Source organism: Homo sapiens, chromosome 8 (genome assembly GCF_000001405.40).
Source record: "Homo sapiens chromosome 8, GRCh38.p14 Primary Assembly".
In the NCBI taxonomy this organism is placed as follows: domain Eukaryota; kingdom Metazoa; phylum Chordata; class Mammalia; order Primates; family Hominidae; genus Homo; species Homo sapiens.
The window spans coordinates 92,695,712-92,716,724 of NC_000008.11; the positions used below are offsets into that span (position 1 = coordinate 92,695,712).

The following is a 21,013-nucleotide window of genomic DNA, read 5'->3' on the forward strand; positions in this document are numbered from 1 at the left end:
CCAGCAGAGGTATTCTTTCTATGACATAGCTTATAGATAACACACTATTATAATTATTCCCTCAACAAATAATTACAAACTAATGGTTGAGAGCAAATCTTTGGAGTCAGAGAGACGTGTTTGAAATCCAGCTCCGTCACCAACTGCTTTTGTGACCTCGGAAATGTAACATAACTTTTCTTATCCCTTGTGAATAAAGTTTACAAAGACCTAACGGCTGTCTAGAGGATCAAGTGAGTTAATTTCCATATAGCCTTTAGGAGCGTGCCTGACCTTAGTAAGGTGCTAAGTACCCACAATGAGCCTTTTAATATCTTATGTGTGTATTATACCCTGTAGGAACCATGTTGTAAAAAGATCAGGAAAATACACTTTAGTCATTACAAGGTATTGCAATATTTTCTTTTTACACCACCATTTGATCTGATAGCTTTACCCCTTTTGACTAGGTTTGTTCATTGCCTTTGGTTATTTCTTTATCAATAGAGAGGTTTTGTTTGGCTTAGTTTTGGTGCCTTTAGATAAGAAATTGTTCCAGGAGCCTGAGAATTCTGAAAAGCTAATCTCTGAACAATTGTAGTTTTAATTCCCTAATATTGTTCAAACTATTAATCACTTTTGAATCCTGTAATTTTGTCATATAGTATTTTAGAAATCAATGCTTCTGATTCCTTGATATTACTAACAAGTGCAGAGGAGAAAGATGAAAAACAATTTTTTCTTAATAGTTATAAATTTTATCTTTGGTTAAACATTTTCTTTGTGTTATACTTAGAGAAATACATATATCTTACTTTGCATATTTAATAATGGGTATACAATTTTTGAGAAAAGAACTGTAGTTTGTGAGGAGTGAGACAAGACAGCTATATATCACAAAAATTCATTATCAAACTCGGTTTTACTGAGCATCAAGGATCATAAGGAAAATACTACATGCATCTGAGGTCACTTTATTATTAAGATCATATAAAATTGATATAAAACAGTAAAGAAAGAAAAATCTTTCACAGATTTTTAAGATTGTGAAAACATCAAAAATTCTAAATAACACATAGATTCATGTGAAATTAAATGAATTCTACATGATTCTATGTGTTAAATTCTAAACTCATGTTGAATTAACATTTATTTAGAATATTAAGAATGAAACATAACAACTATGTTTCATTCTTAGTATTAAAGGAATTCATCTTGGGACATATTTTTTGTCCTCACGCACACATCACAAATCCATAGGTGATCTCATCAACTTTCACTGCTTTTAAAGACCTGAGGAGATACTTCACAAAATCCAATAAGCAAGGAAAAGCTGTTTAGTAATATTAATCATTAGGGAAATGCAAATTAAAATCACGATGTAATACCATTAGACCACCCAATTAGAATGGCTAAAATCAAAAAGACTGACAACACAAAGCGCTGGTGAAAAATGTGGACCAACCAAACTTAATTCTCATATATTGCTGGAAAACAATCTGGCAGTTTCTTAAAATGTTAAATGTATAGATAATATCTCAGCAACTTCACTACTAGGCATTTACCCAAGAGCAATGAAGGCGTATACACACCAAAATGCTGGTATGTTCATATCAGCTTTATTCATGATAGACCAAACTGGAAACAACCAAATGTCCATGAGCTGATGAAGACATAAAGAAATTGTCATATATTCATACAATGGTATACTACTCAGAAATAAAATGCCTCAAATTACTGATACATAAGACAACATGAATAAATCTCACAGATATAACATTAAGGGGAAAATGCCTGAGACAAAAGATATATACTTGATAATTACATTTACGTGAATTTCTGACAAGGGAAACCTGAGTAATGGTAAAACACATCAGCTCAGTGGTTGCAGGATGAGGAGCGTTAATTGAAGAAAAGCATGAAGGAACTTACTGGGGTGATAGAAATGTTCTACTCCGGCATAGGGTGGTGAGTACATGGGTGTATACACGTCTGTCAAAACTCTAACTGGGCAGGGTGCAGTGGCTCACGCCTGTAATCCCAGCACTTTCACTGGCCGAGCCAGGTGGATCAATTGAGGTCAGGATTTCCAGACCAGCCTGGGCATCATGGTGAAAATCCATCTCTACTAAAAATACAAAAATTAGCTGAGTGTGGTGGTGCACACCTGTAATCCCAGCTATTTGAGAGGCTGAGGCAGGAGAATTGCTTGAACCCAGGAGGAGGCAGAGGTTACAGTGAGCCAAGATCATGCCATTGTACTTCAGCCTGGGAAACAAGAGAGAAACTCCATCTCAAAACAAACAAACAAACAAAACAAAAAACAAACAACAACAACAACAACAAAAATCTCTAACTGGACTTCAATATTGGGACATACTGCAAATACATAATTTGTATGAGAATTTGTCCCAAGATCATTTAAATTCATTTTAATCCATCCATTCATTCAAAATCATGTTCACAGTAGAGGGATAAAACAATAACCAAAAAAAAGACAATTTCTTCCTTCTGCCTTCAGAAGCTTACAGCTTAGTAGGAAAACCAGATGTTGTCAAAATATCAACAATAAACATATAATTACAAACTGTGATGCAAATACTGCAAAGGAGGCATACCGAGTTACAAGGCAGCCAATAAAGGGATTCCCAAGCTAGTGGGTGCTGGGGGAAGAAAATGCCAAGAGGGAGGTTTTCCCTAAAGGTGGGTTTTAGTCCACTGCCGTTGAGATCACAGAAATTGGAGTCAGACTGCCCGGGTTGGAAGACTGGATCTATCACTCATGCAGTGTGTAACCTCAGGCACACTTTAAGTGTCAGTTTCCTTATCTGTAGATATTAAAGCAGTATCTATGTTTACACATATCTACATATATTAAAACTATGTTAGAATTTATTTCAAGTACTTAACATGACCAAATCTAATGAAAATTGTGATTGACACAAACTAGTGCTTTTTCAGTGCAAAGATAAGAATAGAAGCTAACTTTGAGTGAGCTGAAGGGAGGATGGAGGTGAGAAAAGAGAGACACTTAACATAGACACCTCCTTTAAGGAGTTTTGCCATGCAGATGAACAGAGAACAAGAACTGTGGCTGGAGTTCAAGAAGCCAAGGGATAATTTCATTTGTTTATTTGTACTATGCGAGCTACTCTGGCATGCTAGTAGGAATGACCCATTTTAGTAGAAAAAACTGATGATGCAGGAGCTGGCAAAAACTGCAAGAATAAAGTCTTACGTGGGTGAGGGATGGCTGGAATTAAACAGGAGCTGGGACAGTTATTCTATTATAACAACAGTTTTAAAATTTAGGTTAGCTCAATGCATTCATGAAAAATTGTGCCAGGTGTAAGAGACAAAGGAGTTAACAAAAAAATACATTTGGTGGGTGGGTGCCAGATGAAATAATTCTCATCTGGCTGTATCTTTTACTAAGGAAGTGTGAAGTCATCAGCTGAGTTTTATCACAGATGTTTGAAGAGGAGAAAATATGAAATAATTTCTGGAAGAGTAAGTAACAATAAATATTTACTGTGGAATATGGGAGGAGCTTTCATGCTGCTTGATGATTTTGTCATTTATTCTACGAAAGAGACCAGTCCTTGTGGATGTTAGAATTTCCTAGCAATTTTCAGCCACCTGGTTGTAGGCATAGAGTGGGGGAGGGACGATTATGATCAAGATTGGGGTTTTGCCAGAACAGTGCTAAGAAATAAGAGGAGAACAAGGTGAAGAGTGTTTGCAGAAGAGAGGCTGCAGCCTTTAGTCCTTGTGATCTACACTTGGCAGGGAGGGACAGTAGGACAGTGGTGGCTCAATGGATCGAAGTTCCCTGTCCATTTGGGGATGGGTGGAGTGGCAGTACAAACCCAAGTCGGCTGTAAGGAACAGGTGACTTTATTGCTGGGTGTGCTTTCCATTTAAGAAACATTCTAGGTCTATTCTCTAAATAACCATTTTGCTGTTATTGGATAAAAAGCCCCTCAAAAGTTGCTCCCAGGAGAAGCTGTGACACTAATTTTGAAATGTTTAATTTGATGTAAAAATGTAATACTTGTAACAGCTTTGCACTATTTATTTTCATAAATGAGGCAGCAAACACTTTATAAATAATTGGGGGCTCTTCACCCCGGCTGTGGGCCACTCTGGCCTCATCTGTTCCCCTACTGTGTCTCCTGAACGTGTGTCCTGCCCAGCAGCACTTCACAGTAGTATTAGATTCTTCGGTTGAAGTCTGTACACAGAGGAGAAATTTGTTGACTCAGTAGAATGGTTGTTAAGTTGTTAGTGTCAGATCACCTGGATAGATAACATTTTAAAAGAAAATTTATAAGGAAAGAATTTTTAAATACTCAAAAACATCAAAAGCAGAGAGAAAAGACAATGAATTCCTGTATGTTACTTTGCCCCGATTCAACAATTGTCAAGAATTTGAAAATGGCTGTGTTTTGAAATTCCTTCCTTTATAACAACATTTTTTGTTTTGTTTTGTTTTGTTTTGTTTTTTGAGACAGAGTCTTGCTCTGTTGCCCAAGCTGGAGTGAAGTGGCACAAACACCTCTCACTGTAGCCTTGACTTCCTGGGCTCAAGTGATCCTCCTGCTTTAGCTTCCCTTGTAGCCGGGACCACAGGCATGCACCACCATGCACAGCTAATTTTTAAAAACACTTCTGTAGAGACAGGGTCACTCTATGTTGCCCAGGCTGATCTCAAACTCTTGGGTTCGAATGATCCTCCCACCTAGGCCTCCCAAAGTGCTGACAACATAATTCTTTAAGGAAAAAATACAACTCTAAAATGATATCTGAGTTAAACGTAACAAATTAAATACTAGTCATGTCTTTTTCAGCATATATTTTCTGGGTTCTTCACATGTACAAAGCAATGTACAAAGAGCTGGCACAGAATTGTAAAGAAGGCAGACGCATCTCTGCCTGAGAGAGGTCTATTTGCATCATCAGAACCAAGTGTGTCTCAGAAAGCTCTAATTCTTTCACTTTTACAATTCATTGATTGTTCCATAGTAGCCAAAACTAAAAAATGTGAATTCTTATCTTAATGCAGAGAACAGGGAGAGCACCTGACATCTAAATTTAAAATCTATAAAAGCTGTTATTGCTTAGGATACATTCTGCTAGTTAACTTTCGCTTTTGTGTTTGCTTTTTAAAAAATCTCTAGTATTCATAACCTATTCTGCCTGTATACCAATATTATTTCTAATTAGGCAGTTAAAGAAGGTTAACTGATTCCAAATTTCCAAAGATCTATTCAGATTAACAATCACATTGATATCTTACTAAACAGAAAAAATAAAATTTAAGCTTTATTCAAATGCAGACAAAATAGTTGTGGGGAATAATAATATAATTGGAGAACTATTAGTATCTTAGGTATTGTTTAGTTCTTCAATTATAGTTGCTAAAATATTCTAGATAATTCCAAGCTAGAGATCACTCCTACAATTTTTCTGTTATATTTGGAATTGCTATGTTGTCACTTATGGGAAAGTTCTCTGACTTAATATCTGTGCCAAATTGTCTGTTGGGAGCTCAGCACTTTTCCTCCTCCTCTTGGCTCTTCTCTGTGTTAAAGAAGCTGGAAGCCTGAGAACTAGATTTCTTGGAGTTTCTGTCAGTAGGGCTCCAGGTAAAACCCTGCCTGTAAGAGGCACAACACATGAAAGGCATTAGCCATATTAACACTCTTATGGCTGCAATGGGCAGATAAGTGTTTTTGGGCAGGTGAGATTTTCAGCAGTCCCTAGATAATTTCTCTTGAACCATTGCTGGAGGCAACAGTTATCATTGTCTAAAGTTTCTGGAAGTTTCTGTCCCTTTCTGAGTCCTTCGAATAGTGGTGAAATGTGGCTGTAGCTGTGCTTTATCTCTGCCTCATACCTCCCAGTATTTCCCTGTATCAAATCTCTTTCTGCTTACTTCAAATAGACAGAGAGGTTTCAGCTTTCCTGACAGGACTTGGACAGATAAATCATTTTTATAATAAATCAGAGGAGATGGAAATTGAGAAAATAGTAGACCCAAAAATTGGGTAGAAGTATTTCTGTAATCATGTTATATTGATCTTTCATTTAGACAAACAGTAGGTACTTAATAAGCACTCCTTCCTTCTTTTTAAATTCACTAAAGAAATAGTATTTGAATAGATTCAGTTTGTGGGACAGAAGAGCCTCACTGACAATTTTAAAATGTACTGTTTACTTGAAACTTGATAAGAAAGTAGATTTCAAGTGTCTTTACCACACAGACACACGAATGCACACACACACATAAATGGTAACTGTGTGTGGTGATGGATATGTTAATTTGTGGTAATAAGTCCACAAAGTATACTGTTATCAAATCATCATGTTGTACGCTTAAAAAATATATAAAATTTTTGTCAATTAAAAATTTTAGGCCTGGCGTGGTGGCTCACGCCTGTAATCCTAGCACTTTGGAAGGCTGAGGAGGGAGGGTCACCTGAGGTCAGGAGTTCGAGACCAGCCTGGCCAACATGGTGAAAACCCATCTCTACTAAAAATACAAAAATTAGCCAGGCGTGGTGGCAGGCACTTGTAATCCCAGCTACTCGGGAGGCTGAGGCAGGAGAATTGCTTGAACCCGGGAGGTGGAGGTTGCCGTGAGTCGAGATCGTGCCACTGGACTCCAGCCTGGGGGACAAGAGAGAGACTTCGTCTCAAAAAAAAAAAAAAAAAAAATTAAAATACAATTAAAAAAAAAGAAAAGAAACCAGTTTCCAGGATATCATAACAAGGACATACAATGTCCTTGGCTTGGAATTATAAGAATAAATAAAGCTGATTAAAAAATAGGAATAACTTACAAATAAATGCCTATTTTGATAGGTTGATATTTTATATTAAAAACAGATCTCATAATATTAACAGGTCTTTGTTTTTAGAATTATTTTTTTCAGGTTACATAGCAAATAAATAACAAAATCTCTTAGTACTATTTCAAACTGAACCGCAATATTATAAACATAAAATGATTTATTCATCTAGGTATATGATTTTTTTTAAATGAAAAGATTCCAATTGGGTGTGATCAAATCTGCATCATATTTTGTTTGCAGAAAGGTTTTATGATTGGAAATTATCTTTGCTCACCCTCCTGAATTAATAAAATGTGGCTGACAGTCACCATAGTCTTATAGGCCACAGTTGTTATGAAAATATGGTTGCTAGGATACCTTCATTATTTCATTGTCATGTTACACCGGTCTATCAATTAATAAAGAAACACTCAAGTTAATTCTCAGTCACATTTATACACATTCTTAGCATATGATTTCCCTTATCTCCAAGTGACATTTCTCCCTGTAGCATTCACCTTCTACTCCATAAAATATTAAACATGAGGTTATCACATCAGTTTACAAATTACAGCAATGATGCACGTCTTCTACTTAACCTTTCCATTCACTTTCCATCATGGTGAAAGTTCTTACAGCAAATATCCATGCCTAAACTAAACTTTTTTTTTCTACCTCTAGATTTACTTCAGAGAAAATTGATGCCTAGGAACAAAATACACGTATTGAATTGATATTTTCAGTCCTTTTTAGTTATTTCTATAGGAAACAGGAAGGTGAAGCAGGCAATCCTTTGAACATCCCTCCTGCATCTTTAGATATTCAAAACGATTCCCAGGTTATTGCTTTAAACTTTAGGGTTAGATTCAAAGAAGATGTCTTATAATGGGTCTTACAAATACATTTCATATGACTATTACATTTCAGTCAAAACTACCAAATGCTGTCTTGCATTGCCACTTGTCAGAACATCATAGGAATAATAGATTAAAATTTTTCATGTGACAAATTCATTTTATTTACACTTTGTCACTTCAAATTAGTGCCTACTCATTTCAGTGTATGGAACCAAAATAAAATGAGTTACATTAATTTTCCAAAAACAAGGATGCAACACATTCTGAGAATTGGCAAAAGCGGAAATGTTGATTCTAATTATAAAACATTATATAAATATAAAAACCTTTTCATGACTTCATATAATTTTGATAACTTCTCAAAAAATTCCAGCAAGTGAAAGTATTGTTACCCCTACTATACAAGAAAACTGAGTAATATCTGGATTTGCAAAGTATCATTCAGTAAATTGTACAATCAAGGATAGACTTAATTGTACAGTCAAGTATACACTTAAGAGATTTCTTTCTTCTTTTTTTTTTTTTTTTGGAAAAAACTACTTTAAAGTTCATATGGAACCAAAAAAGAGCCCGCGTCGCCAAGTCAATCCTAAGTCAAAAGAACAAAGCTGGAGGCATCACGACACCTGACTTCAAACTATACTACAAGGTCTACAGTAACCAAAACAGCATGGTACTGGTACCAAAACAGAGATATAGACCAATGGAACAGAACAGAGCCCTCAGAAATAATGCCGCATATCTACAACTATCTGATCTTTGACAAACCTGACAAAAACAAGAAATGGGGAAAGGATTCCCTATTTAATAAATGGTGCTGGGAAAACTGGCTAGCCATATGTAGAAAACTGAAACTGGATCCCTTCCTTACACCTTATACAAAAATTAATTCAAGATGGATTAAAGACTTACATGTTAGACCTAAAACCATAAAAACCCTAGAAGAAAACCTAGGCAATACCATTCAGGACATAGGCATGGGCAAGGACTTCATGTCTAAAACACCAAAAGCAATGGCAACAAAAGCCAAAATTGACAAGTGAGATCTAATTAAACTAAAGAGCTTCTGCACAGCAAAAGAAACTACCATCAGAGTGAACAGGCAACCTACAGAATGGGAGAAAATTTTTGCAATCTACTCATCTGACAAAGGGCTAATATCCAGAATCTACAATGAACTCAAACAAATTTACAAGAAAAAAACAAACAACCCCATCAAAAAGTGGGCGAAGGATATGAAGAGACACTTCTCAAAAGAAGACATTTATGCAGACAAAAAACACATGAAAAAATGCTCATCATCACTGGCCATCAGAGAAATACAAATCAAAACCACAATGAGATACCATCTCACAACAGTTAGAATGGCAATCATTAAAAAGTCAGGAAACAACAGGTGCTGGAGAGGATGTGGAGAAATAGGAACACTTTTACACTGTTGGTGGGACTGTAAACTAGTTCAACCATTGTGGAAGTCAGTACGGCAATTCCTTAGGGATCTAGAACTAGAAATACCATTTGACGCAGCCATCCCATTATTGGGTATATATCCAAAGGATTATAAATCATGCTGCTATAAAGACACATGCACACGTATGTTTATTGCGGCACTATTCACAATAGCAAAGACTTGGAACCAACCCAAATGTCCAACAATGATAGACTGGATTAAGAAAACGTGGCACATATACACCATGGAATACTATGCAGCCATAAAAAATGAAGAGTTCATGTCCTTTGTAGGGACATGGATGAAACTGGAAATCATCATTCTCAGCAAACTATCGCAAGGACAAAAAACCAAACACTGCATGTTCTCACTCATAGGTGGGAATTGAACAATGAGAACACATGGACACAGGAAGGGGAACATCACACACCAGGGACTGCTGTGGGGTTGGGGGAGGGGAGAGGGATAGCATTAGGAGATATACCTAATGCTAAATGACGAGTTAATGGGTGCAGCACACCAACATGGCACATGTATACATATGTAACAAACCTGCACGTTGTGCACATGTACCCTAAAACTTAAAGTATAATAATAATAAAATTTTTAAAAAAAGATTTCTTAATGTTTAGAATTGTTTTACACTGGGCATGGTGGCTCACGCCTGTAATCCCAGCACTTTGGGAGGTCAAAATGGGTGGATCACGAAGACGAGGTAGAGACCATCCTGGTCAACATGGTGAAACTCTCTTCTCTACTGAAAATACAAAAATTAGCCAGGCATGGTGGTGTGCGCCTGTAGTCCCAGCTACTTGGGAGGCTGAGGCAGGAGAATCACTTGAACCCAGGAGGTGGAGTTTGCAGTGAGCCAAGATCGTGCCACTGCACTCCAGCATGGTGACAGAGTGAGACTCCGTATCAAAAAAAAAAAAAAATTGTTTTAAAGGTACTATCATTCATTCAAATTTCATGATCAATATTTGTCAATATTTGTAGGTGAACAGTTTGTTCAAATTTTATAACTAGTAGAATGCAAGAAAAAGAAAAAAAGAATACACAATTCAAGGAGTGAATGTCTCAACTCTTAAAAATATTTGTAAGCAGTTCAACATATCTTTATATTTGTATATAAGTACATTAAAAGCAATTGTATCAAAACCCAAACTGACCACACAGATGTAATATTTTTTAAACTTCTCCTGTGCCAAAGACTGTACACAGCTGTTTTCAATTCACTGAAATGGATGTGTGGTCTTCCTTTCGTCAAAGAAAAATATCTCTCTCATTTTAAATTTTTATGTGTGGCTTGGCAAATCATATAGTTAAAGTAAGAATATACTCATGTGAAAAAATCTTTATCAATCCTGATGTCCCATGAAATGGGTTAAAACTGTCTTGTAATGAAGTATATGAAATTTACTAATGTTTTTGATGCTTTACAAATGTCTCTCAAGTATTACTCAGATGTGTTTTCAGTATAATTCAACCACATTTTTTAAACTTTGAGAATCAGGAATTTAAACAATGTAATGATAAATTAAGTTCCAGGATTATAGTATTTTTGATGCAATGATGAGATTCAGAGACTTTTGAGTTTCACGCTGCTATCAGTTTCCTTTTTATCACAGATCAATCTTGATTTTTCCTTAGCAAAATATTATATTTCATTTCCCAGAGATTGTGCCCCCGATTCACCTTCACCTACACTTTTGTCAGGCTCAATACATTTTAAATAGTATTCGCTAGGGCAGTATAGAAACATTTTCCCATGCAACTGAAAAAAGCACTCGGTGGTTATGCTTCCTTATGACTTTGGCAGGCCTAACAAAATCTAAACACATTTTTACTTTCTTGTAGGCCCCATTTTTGGTTTTAAATTCATCGTGTAACCTCTGAAAATATTAGAGCGAGGTATGGACTTTAACATGACAAATTTATGTTTTCATCTACAAATTCCTTTCCATTTTTAATGTTAAAAAATTGAAAGTAGGGTTCGACAAATGATTATTATATAAGATTATATTATGAACATATCTTTTCTCAATATTTCAAATAGCTTCAATCATTATTTCCTTGAGATGGCACTAGGGCAACTTTGTTCTTTGTGTTGAACAGTGTACTCTCACTAATTGAAAATATTTATCTCTTCTTTTCCCCATTTATTTTTATAAAATTCTTTTGTATCATAATTTCTAGCCTCAGGACAGAAGCGATTCCCTTTTTGTATATTTCTTCTAACTATAGACATAATGCAATAATTCCAAGCGAGCATTTCACATTTCACAATGACAATTTTTCAAGTCAACTCAATCAAATATTTATTAATGGCCTACTGTGGGTCATAGACAGTAATGGTAGGCTGCTCTTCCTGTCTCACTGTAATCTACAAACCATTGTTAAAATGGCACAATTGACACTAAATCGCCAATTCAGACTCAATGGATGAGATCAACATTGCCTGCACTTTAAGCAGATGTGAAATAAGATGTGATCATTTAATATCACTTCATCTTTCGATTATGAATACCTCCCTAATTTTACCTCTATCTAATTTCTCAGGTCTCAGAGAGAATGAACTAAAAGAAAAACAATAAAGGAAAATCAGTAGACGATGGAGAGCATCTTGATGACCTATTGGGAATGTACATGGTGTGTGAAGAGAGGGGATTATTATTATGTGCAAGATATGGAAAAATGTGGCTGGGAAATAAAAGAGAGTAAAGACCAAAAGATGGGAAGAACAAAAATGTCACGAATAAAATGTCATGTTTTATTTAGGTGCATTTTTATTTGGTTTGGTTTTTTCTTTTTATTTGGTTTCATATTTTGACTTCCATATTACTAGTAAAATATTTTATAGCTATAATTCTAGAAATTATAAAATTCATGTAGGGAGTCTATGTGACACTTAATATTTTGAAGCAAGGATAATATACTTTTTCCCTATAGATTCTCTACTGAATATATATATATATATACACAGTAGAGAATATAAATATTTTATATATATAAATCCATACGTTTTATATATATATTTATATATTTTATATATATATTATATATTATATATATATATAAAACAATGAGTAACAACCTTGCCATTGTTGAACTGTTTTTTAAAATATAGACTATAGGAATTCTACTAAATGTTCTGCTTGGAGATCCAGCATTAAAAATCATATTTTGTCTCCTAGGCACCACCCACCCTCCATTGAATCCTAATACCTGAGCTGTAATGGGAAACTGTCTCCACTTGGTCTCAGGATTCCCCTCTCTATCTTCTCAGTCCATGTGTTCATTAAGAGGCAGCAAGTGAGCTTTAAATCTCTATTTTAGCAGACTGTTTCAAAGGATAACATTCTTATTAGAACTCCAGGCTTAAACGATGGTGGAAATTACCCAGACATTGGGTAAAAAGAACTGGGACTTCATTTCTAATACTCTCTGGAGAAGCATAACCTTTCACAAGCAATAATTTACTCAGCAAACAGACAGGGAATAAATAAACTCAAAATACCTTTATTAGGCAACATAACATTAAAAGCATAGTACAGTACCAGTGGTCTCTCTTTTATATAAATGATGACGATGCTGTGTTCCCAGTGAAGGTGAACAATGCTTGGCTCCAGCAAACTACGCCAGGAGTCCATTAATCTAAAACTGGACTATGGCCCTGCAGGGTATTCTCCATCCCACACTGAAGCCTGGGGAATTATTTTAGGAAAGTCAGGAAGCACTTGTAAAAGCCAAGAACTATAAGATGTAAATGTAAATTACAGACTGAAATCATACAGCTTTCCACATATTCATATAATTTTTGGTTTCTTAAAACCTGTCTTTGATTCCCTTCTGCCATTATGTGAAATCCATGAAAAAGGATATAAATAGATTGATGCAGCTCCTTGAAAACTCATGGTTTGTGGTTAAACAGATGAAAAACAATTTTTCTTAATTTAAAAACTATAAGTTTGAAAATGTGTCATGCTAGAAAAAAAATGCTAATTGTCACAAATTCCACAATTATTTCCTTGCTTACAATTTGTAAAGCAGAGACAAAAGCCCTTTATATTCTTTCAGGATTTCTGCTAATTCTTAAGAAAGAAATTCTCATTGGTAATTCTTCAAAAATTTCAGAAGTATATTGTCCTTAGATTGAGTCTTCCATTGTTAAGATGAAGAGAATATAGAAGTTTTATTCAACTTTTATGTTCATCTACTTATTCAGCAGTAGAGTCAAAACTTAGAAAATACCTTGGGTTACCTGACACTGCACATTCATGAATTCTGTATCCCATACTAGACCCAACAGAATTTTTAAAATGTAATTTTTTTTCCTTATCCTTTCCTGCCAACACTTGAAATGAATTCAACTGCAGTTGCATTAGTAGTGTGGGCCTGGTGATAGCACACAGAAGTATGAAATTCAGAGAAAACTAGGAAGCACTGAGTGAGATTCTAGGACATTTCTTCTAGTAGCTTCTCTCCTGCTATATTAGACAAATAAAATGTTATTTGCTGCTCTGTAGCTTTTGGCCATCTCAGAAGACTCATACCTATAAGAAGGATTTTTGCTGCTTTGAAATAGTATTTCTCAAATCATGCATAAGCACAGTTGAAAAAAAAACTCTACCTGTCAATCAACTCAGAAATAAACATGAATATTCACTTGTCACTCATTTGAAACCCTGAACTTTTGGACTTAGTGTAGCTCAAGGCTCATTGTTTTACAACATGTTTGTGAGAACATAATGGAAGGAAAATTATTCATCTAATTTGGGAGAAGTGGCTGCTACATTTTGGTGTGGCATGTGGCCTTTCTATGTACACAATGATACCCTGCCATGTACCAGCTTTTCAGCACTGGCATGTCACCTGGCCTGTGGCATCTCACATTCTCATGTTCTCACACTTGTGTTGTGGCCCAACTAACTCGTTAAGCCAAAGCAAAAAGCAGGTGGGGCACATGCCTGTCAGAGACTGGAATGGCAGGCCACATGCCTCTCCAAGTGCTGTAAACACCAGGGTTTGTTTGGAAATTTCATCTCCTGGTTACAGTAAACATGACTTGAAGGAGCATCCAGCAGAGAAATGGCATGCCCTTTTTCTACAAAAAAATGAATTTTCAGGAAATAATATAAGCTATTAATGAACTGCAGAATAACAGAATATGCTATAATGCAACCTAATATCTTAAGACATAATGTATATAATGACATGAGTATAACACTATCATTCATATATCTAAAGTTGGACAGCAAACCTAGTAGCGTAAATTATTATAAATTGCATATTGAAAGAATACAGCTCTTGGGTTTTGTGCCATAACTTTGTAAAAGTGGATGTATAATTTTTGGTAGGAAAAAAATTAAATTACAGCATAGTATAATGATTACCTTTTATCACATCCTTTCAGCTCTAAAAAACCAATTCTTCTATTCTATTCTCAATTCAGAGAAAACAGCTTTATAAAACTACTCTCTAATCTAAAAAGGAAAATCTAATCAACTACATAAAAATGATAATTTCAGTTCAAGTACTATAAAAAAGTTTCACCATTGTACAAAAATTCTAACTTTTGAAAAACTTACAATTGTGGCACAGACACTTGATTTTTGTGCATTACCAATATTAAAAGATTAGCATAAAACAATGGACTATTTAGCTTCGTGATTTAAAGATTAAGATTCTTTCTTCAGACAAGGCACAGTGGTTCATGCCTATAATCCCAGCACTTTGGGAGGCCGAGGTGGGCAGATCACCAGGTCAGGAGATCGAGACCATCCTGGCCAACATGGTGAAACCCCGTTTCTACTGAAAATACAAAAATTAGCTGGGTATGGTGGCGCGTGCCTGTAATCCCAGCTACTCAGGAGGCTGAGGCATGAAAATCACTTGAACCCAGGAGGTGGAGGTTGCAGTGAGCAGAGATCACACCACTGTACTCCAGCCTGGCGACAGAGCGAGACTTCATCTCAAAAAAAAAAAAAAAACAAAATAAAGATTTGTTCTTCTAATTTGAATTTTAGGCTTTTTGCATATTTTTGTTTCTTTGATCCTCTTAAACCCTAAAATTCTGGCAGTATAGTTTAGTTTATTTATACTTGACCTAATTAATCATGTGATTAAGAAAATGTATAGCTATATAGAAGATATGTCCAGAATTACTCTTAACACACACACTGACAAAAAGTTACACACTTATATGCTCTTTATATACTTAATTATATACGATATATACTTATAATTATATACTTACTTGTACCAAGCATTTCACTTGGAACTGAGTGGACAGTGTTAGGAAGGCTAGATTCTGCTCCCCAGCACTACGCTATTGGTAATTTTTAGCTGAGCTTCAGAGTGTACAGTGGTGAATAGTTAGAAAAATTTTATAAAGATTTGGCCAACTCAGGAGGCTGAGGTGGGAGGACTGCTTGAGCCCAGAAGTTAGAGGCTGCAGTGGGCTGTGAGCATGCCACTATACGCCAGCCTGGGTGACAGAGTGAGACCCTGTTTTGTTTTTGTTTAAAAAAAGATTTGTCCTTCCACAATTATGGTTCTAAACCAAATTCTAAATCAACTGGTTTTGCCCATTTAAGATTACATATTAGTTCTCCAGGCATCATCTACAAGGTAGAAGGCTTGCTCTGATTTTTATTAGCGAAGCTTCCATCCTTACTGCTGACAGCATAGGTTTGATGACAAAGATAAATGAAACTTTCATTAAGGGCAACAGAAAGAACAAGGATGATGTCATTCCCTTCTGTTTCTTTGTTGTTGTTGTTAAAATTGAAACACATTTCCAATGAATTTCCATTATAATGCTAAAAGGAGTCTTGAAGGGAGTGTGAGGAGAAGTGCTTTAAAGCTTTTCCTGGGTGAACAATTAAGAGCAGAAAGCTTTGTCTTGTCTTCTGATTTTTTTTTTCTCCCAGATTTGCTGCTAGATCTTTTGTGTGTCTATCTCCAAACTTTTTACTGTGCACCTTATATGTGCAAAGTATCATATAGCTAATGTTATGCATATTAGCTGGTCTCTGTCCTCAAAAAGAACAAAATATTCAAATAGCTATAGTGCCTAGCAAACCATAGTAATTCCAGTAACAATTTTAAAATATTAAAGGTGATAAAGAGAAAAAGAACATATCAGGTTGAGGACTTTTTTTTTTTTTTTAAGTTTCATGGAGAGGAGACATTTGAATGTCAGTAGAGATTTGACAGGGAAGGAATGTGGAGAATATTTTAGGCAAAGGGAACAGCTTGAGGGAAGATATAAATGCCCAATATGTGCTTGGGAGTTAGCCAGGGGGACAGTTTGTCACTCAAAAAAGGCAGAAGGAGAGTAGGGTGGAATACCAGTAAAAGGCCTGGCTGGCCCAGATCATGGGTGGTCTAGGATGCCAGGCTGAGGAATGTGTACTTACTAGGCAATGGGAAAACACTGGGGGCTGTTTTGGGTAGAAAAATGATATTGTGGGAGTGGTTCTTTAAGATTTGGTGGTCAGCTCTGTCCTGTAGAGGATGAATTTGAATGTGGAGCACAGTTCGATAATATTATAACCTTAGGCAAGTCTATTAGGGTAACAGTTAGATCTGAGGTCAAACTTTGTAACCAAGTAGTTACATAATTTGGACCAGTTCACTAACATTTTGGCCTCAGCTCCATGATGTGGATGACCTTAAAGTTCTCTCCAACAATAACATGCTATGATTCAAGGTAATGCAGAGCCTGGACTGATAGAATGGAAATAGTAATGAAAGTAGAAAATGAGCATAGGCTTTTGAAGAGGGCGGATTCTATTTGCATTTCCCAGTGGGGCTTCCAGTGACATTTCGGGCTCCCAATTCTTTAATGTGAAGGACTGTTCCTAGCAACACAGGTATGTTAGCATCTCTGGTCCATATCCACTAAATTTGAATAGCATATTCCGGCCATCATGACAATCCAAAAGTCTCACACGTTTCCAATTTTTCCCTAGAGGATGGTGAATACTAGACCTTGCCCCATCCACCATCACAAACACAATCACTGTGACTCTATTTTAACTGACGTTTGGATATGGTAGAGAACTGAAAGACTGTTGGTCCATTAATAGCCATGGAGAACTCATGAGAAAGAGCTTTTTTGTTGGAAAAGATTACGTTTTATTTGGGAAATACTGAATTTGAGATATCAGTGGGATAGCAAGATATCTCATTTATATGTAGTAGTAAGGAGATAAGAGAGAAAACAAACAGCAACAGAAGTTCAATAATTCATCATTTCAACCTTGAGAAACAGAAGTTGTTTCTTGTTCAGATATTCAGATATTTTATTAAAGAAAAAAGGATGCTTTGACCTTGCTGGAATCTGTCTGCCTGACCCATTTTAATTGAAACTTACCTCAGAATTTTGTTTTGAACTTCCAAGGAAGCAAAAGAAAATGAAAATGATCTAATTTTGGGTACCTACATGAATCAGATGTTTGCCAGACATTTTACATATATATTTCACATGGTCACTGTGTCTCATGGAGGTTGAGTATCTTGTTCAGGATAACACAGTTAAGTAGCAGAGAAAGAAGATGAAAACTCAGTTCCAACCAGCTCCAAAACTTGGATTCTTTTCCTGTTACAATGTGACAATTAACTAACTTCAATTTCAACAATCCATGCTGACATGCAAATTGGCATTATATATTCATGTGTTACTTCAAGTCCTTCTGCTGCAACAGTGCTTAAGGCACAGTGACTGTGGTGGGAATTCCAGACCCCACACTAGGCAGGTTGAGTTGCAAACCATTCTGTTTGAATGATGATGAATGAATTCCATCAGGGAATACTTAATGCAGTTTGACCAAGGGAGGTATTATTTAAAGTTGTTTATTTCATTTACAACTCCTTCACAATAATGGAAATAGGTACCTTCTAAATGTGCTAATGGATATCTCAGATCCAGAAACGTTTCTCGAGGTTATGGGGAGCTTTTTTCCCTAAGTTTACTCTTAAGCACAACACACACTTGCATGTCCCTTTATATTGCTGGGTACAGCTTTATTCTATCTGCTTTCTCCTTGACTACCCATGTTGTTAATATGGTTCCTGCATCCACACGTGATGCTTTGGAGGTGGCAAGGGCTCCTTGACTTTTGCAATTATTGCCTTATGGCCTTAATTATATCTGTCAAATGTTTTGAGATCACCTCTGTTCACCAGCAAGGTCAAAACACCTCCTATTATTTAATAAAACATCTGAATATTGCTGTTTGGTACTGAATTCTTTCTCTTTGGCTTCCTCTCTTAGTTCCCCACCCCCTTTTCTTTAATCATGGCATCAGGCAAACCATACAAGGCGAGGTTTTGAAACTCTTGGTTCTAACGTTGTCTCTGGTGCTGTCCTGGAGGAGTGAGTGAACTTGCTTTCTTTATCTGTATAATTAGACATCCTTATTTATTGTTTTTTCCTTTTAATGTAGTCCTGTTACCAACTATAAGATGTCCTGTCAAGCCACAGGCTATAATCTCTGTATTGTATTTCACTATGGACAAGGAGGAACACCTGATAAAAATAAACTAATATGAATGACTTAAATCACCCCATATACTTCCACTGATGGTTAAAATTAAAATTTACTTTCAATGTTTATCTAATCATGCTTCAGTGCATATTTAATATAAACAACAAATTATATATTTCAGTGGGTTTATGAACACATAGGGGTTGCAAGTCAGCCAGATTGAGTTCACTGGGTCCATAATTTCACTTCTGTTTTGTATAATGGTTTACTGAGAAAGGGTAAATTAAAAATTTCTCTCCTATTGGGCAAGCTCCAGGAAGAAACATCTGTTTTCACGGTGTGGGGGGCCTCAGGTGTCTTGTATAGTACCTATTATATAATGCAGTAAATCATTCAGTGAACACTTGTTTCTTAAAGAATATGATTTGGACCTAAGAGCATCGATGTGGTCCAGTTTAGGGGGTAGAAGAAAAATAACTGCTTTTGTCACATGGAGTAGTCCAAATGAAGATAATGAACATAAAAGAAGGAAAATCAAAATATAAGTGCTTTGAGAAGTTATAATACAATATATAACTATATCTTACTTGTTAACTAGAGTAGGTGCAGTCAAGCCCTAGGAAATTCAGTAAGGATATGGCTGACCATTTCCAAACAGCCCTACTTTCCTAAAAGTGAGCAGAATTCTAAATGAGATCAAAAGCAGTGATATTTCTATCCTTAGGGAGACATAGCCGAAAATGACTTTTAACTGAAAGAAGCTCAACATAGCTGCTCTTGCTAATTCTATCAGGTAAAAGTTTTTTAAGCTTGCATATACTAGCAACATACTTTATATTTGTATACTTCTAATCATTTCCATTTTTACTTATATCAAACATGATGCATGTTAATGTCTCGTTGCAAGTTAGTTGTAACTTCTCATGGACTGTTAATGCAAAATTAATCTAATTAAAATATATCTCTAATGAGTATAGCAGTGTTTTTTCAATAATTAATTTCTGATGGTCTTTATGTATGACCCAGGAAAAAAATCAATATTCTGTTTCAGATATGCATTTTTCTAAGAAAAATGTAGCCTAGCAAATAATTTTAAATATGTAAGATAAGAAGTTTATTCTGGATGTTGACCCCTTAGAGTTGTGATATTAAGACAGCAGTAAATTCTCAACAAAGAGATGTCATATTATTAATGTCACTGATAAATTATTTTCTGTGCATCTATGCCCAATATGCATCCCAAATATTAGCCCCTGGTTGTCAACAAGGCATTCAATATGTTGAGTTGCCTTGTCCTTTACAACTTAAAGGTAAATTTTTCTCAATATCCCTGTCCTAATATCTCTAGGGATTCAGTGTGTGGGGGTTGGTCAGTCTGCCATTTTGCCTAGACACTGATGTTCTGCATGTCTCCTAAATCTTGAATTTTCTTCATGTCTCACAGCTTTCAGCTATTCTGGTCTCTCCCCTGTGTAACCCAGTTATAAAACAAAATCCCTTTCCTTGATTACTTTAACATACCAAAGAGAGAGAGAAAGAGAGAGAGAGAAAGAAAGAGAGTCATGAATTTGTATTTTAAGGAAACTTGAAGAGTTTCATCTAAATGTTACATTTCAAGAATTCTCTTAGTGAATATTAGACATTCCCCCTGCCATGCTCCTCAGTGGGAATGTCCCACTAGCCAACTCTTCTTCTGCATTCTCCACAGCTGCACTTTGTGGAGCATCCCCAGATCCATCCCTAGAGTCCAGCTTCTCTCCATTTCTGGGCTCCTTCCCTTCTTCCTCTTGGCTTCCTCCAGAAATGAAAAAATACATATTATGCAGAGCAACACAGCTCTTTTTGTAAACTCTTACCGCATCCTAGCAATGTTCTGAGGGATATCACAGCAGAACCAATATAAATCCATATGTTATTTTGAGAAACAAAATAAAATTATCTTTTCTAAGATCATTCTGATGCCATATCTGAACGAACAGGCTTTTCTCCCCAGACTAGATGTGTATTTCCCAAGGTTATACAAACATATACATGAAATATACACACATATATATTTCACTTTTATTCCACCCTCTAGCATTTCACTCTTGTATGGTTAATTCCTGCTAAAAATGTAAATGTTCAGATTTCCCTAAGCTTTATTTAAATTACTAAGTTGATGATACTAACACTTCCTTCTACTATCAGTCTATTTTTCCCTTGCATTTAATGATTGAGCATTCTGCTGCCACTTCTCTTTACCGTCTTGTCCTTCCTTAATCCTCTCAACTTGGCTTCCATTGCTACCACTCTGCTGAAGGGATTCACCAATGTTCTACTTCTAAGCAAATCTTTTCTCCTTTTCTTCATGGAAACACTTTTCTTCTTGAAGCTCTCCTCCACTGGAGTTTCTTCAGC

The 21,013-nt window shown here is 35.8% G+C and overlaps 1 long non-coding RNA gene across 1 annotated transcript in view; it reads right to left on the reverse strand.

Annotated features, from left to right (window-relative positions):
• Positions 1–17,250: 17,250 nt before the first annotated feature.
• FLJ46284 (uncharacterized LOC441369) overlaps positions 17,251–21,013 on the reverse strand; it is a 73,099-nt gene continuing 69,336 nt past the window's right edge. Inside the window, exon 3 of the long non-coding RNA NR_046114.1 lies at positions 17,251–20,411. This is a non-coding gene — a long non-coding RNA (uncharacterized LOC441369). The remainder of the gene's footprint in view (positions 20,412–21,013) is intronic.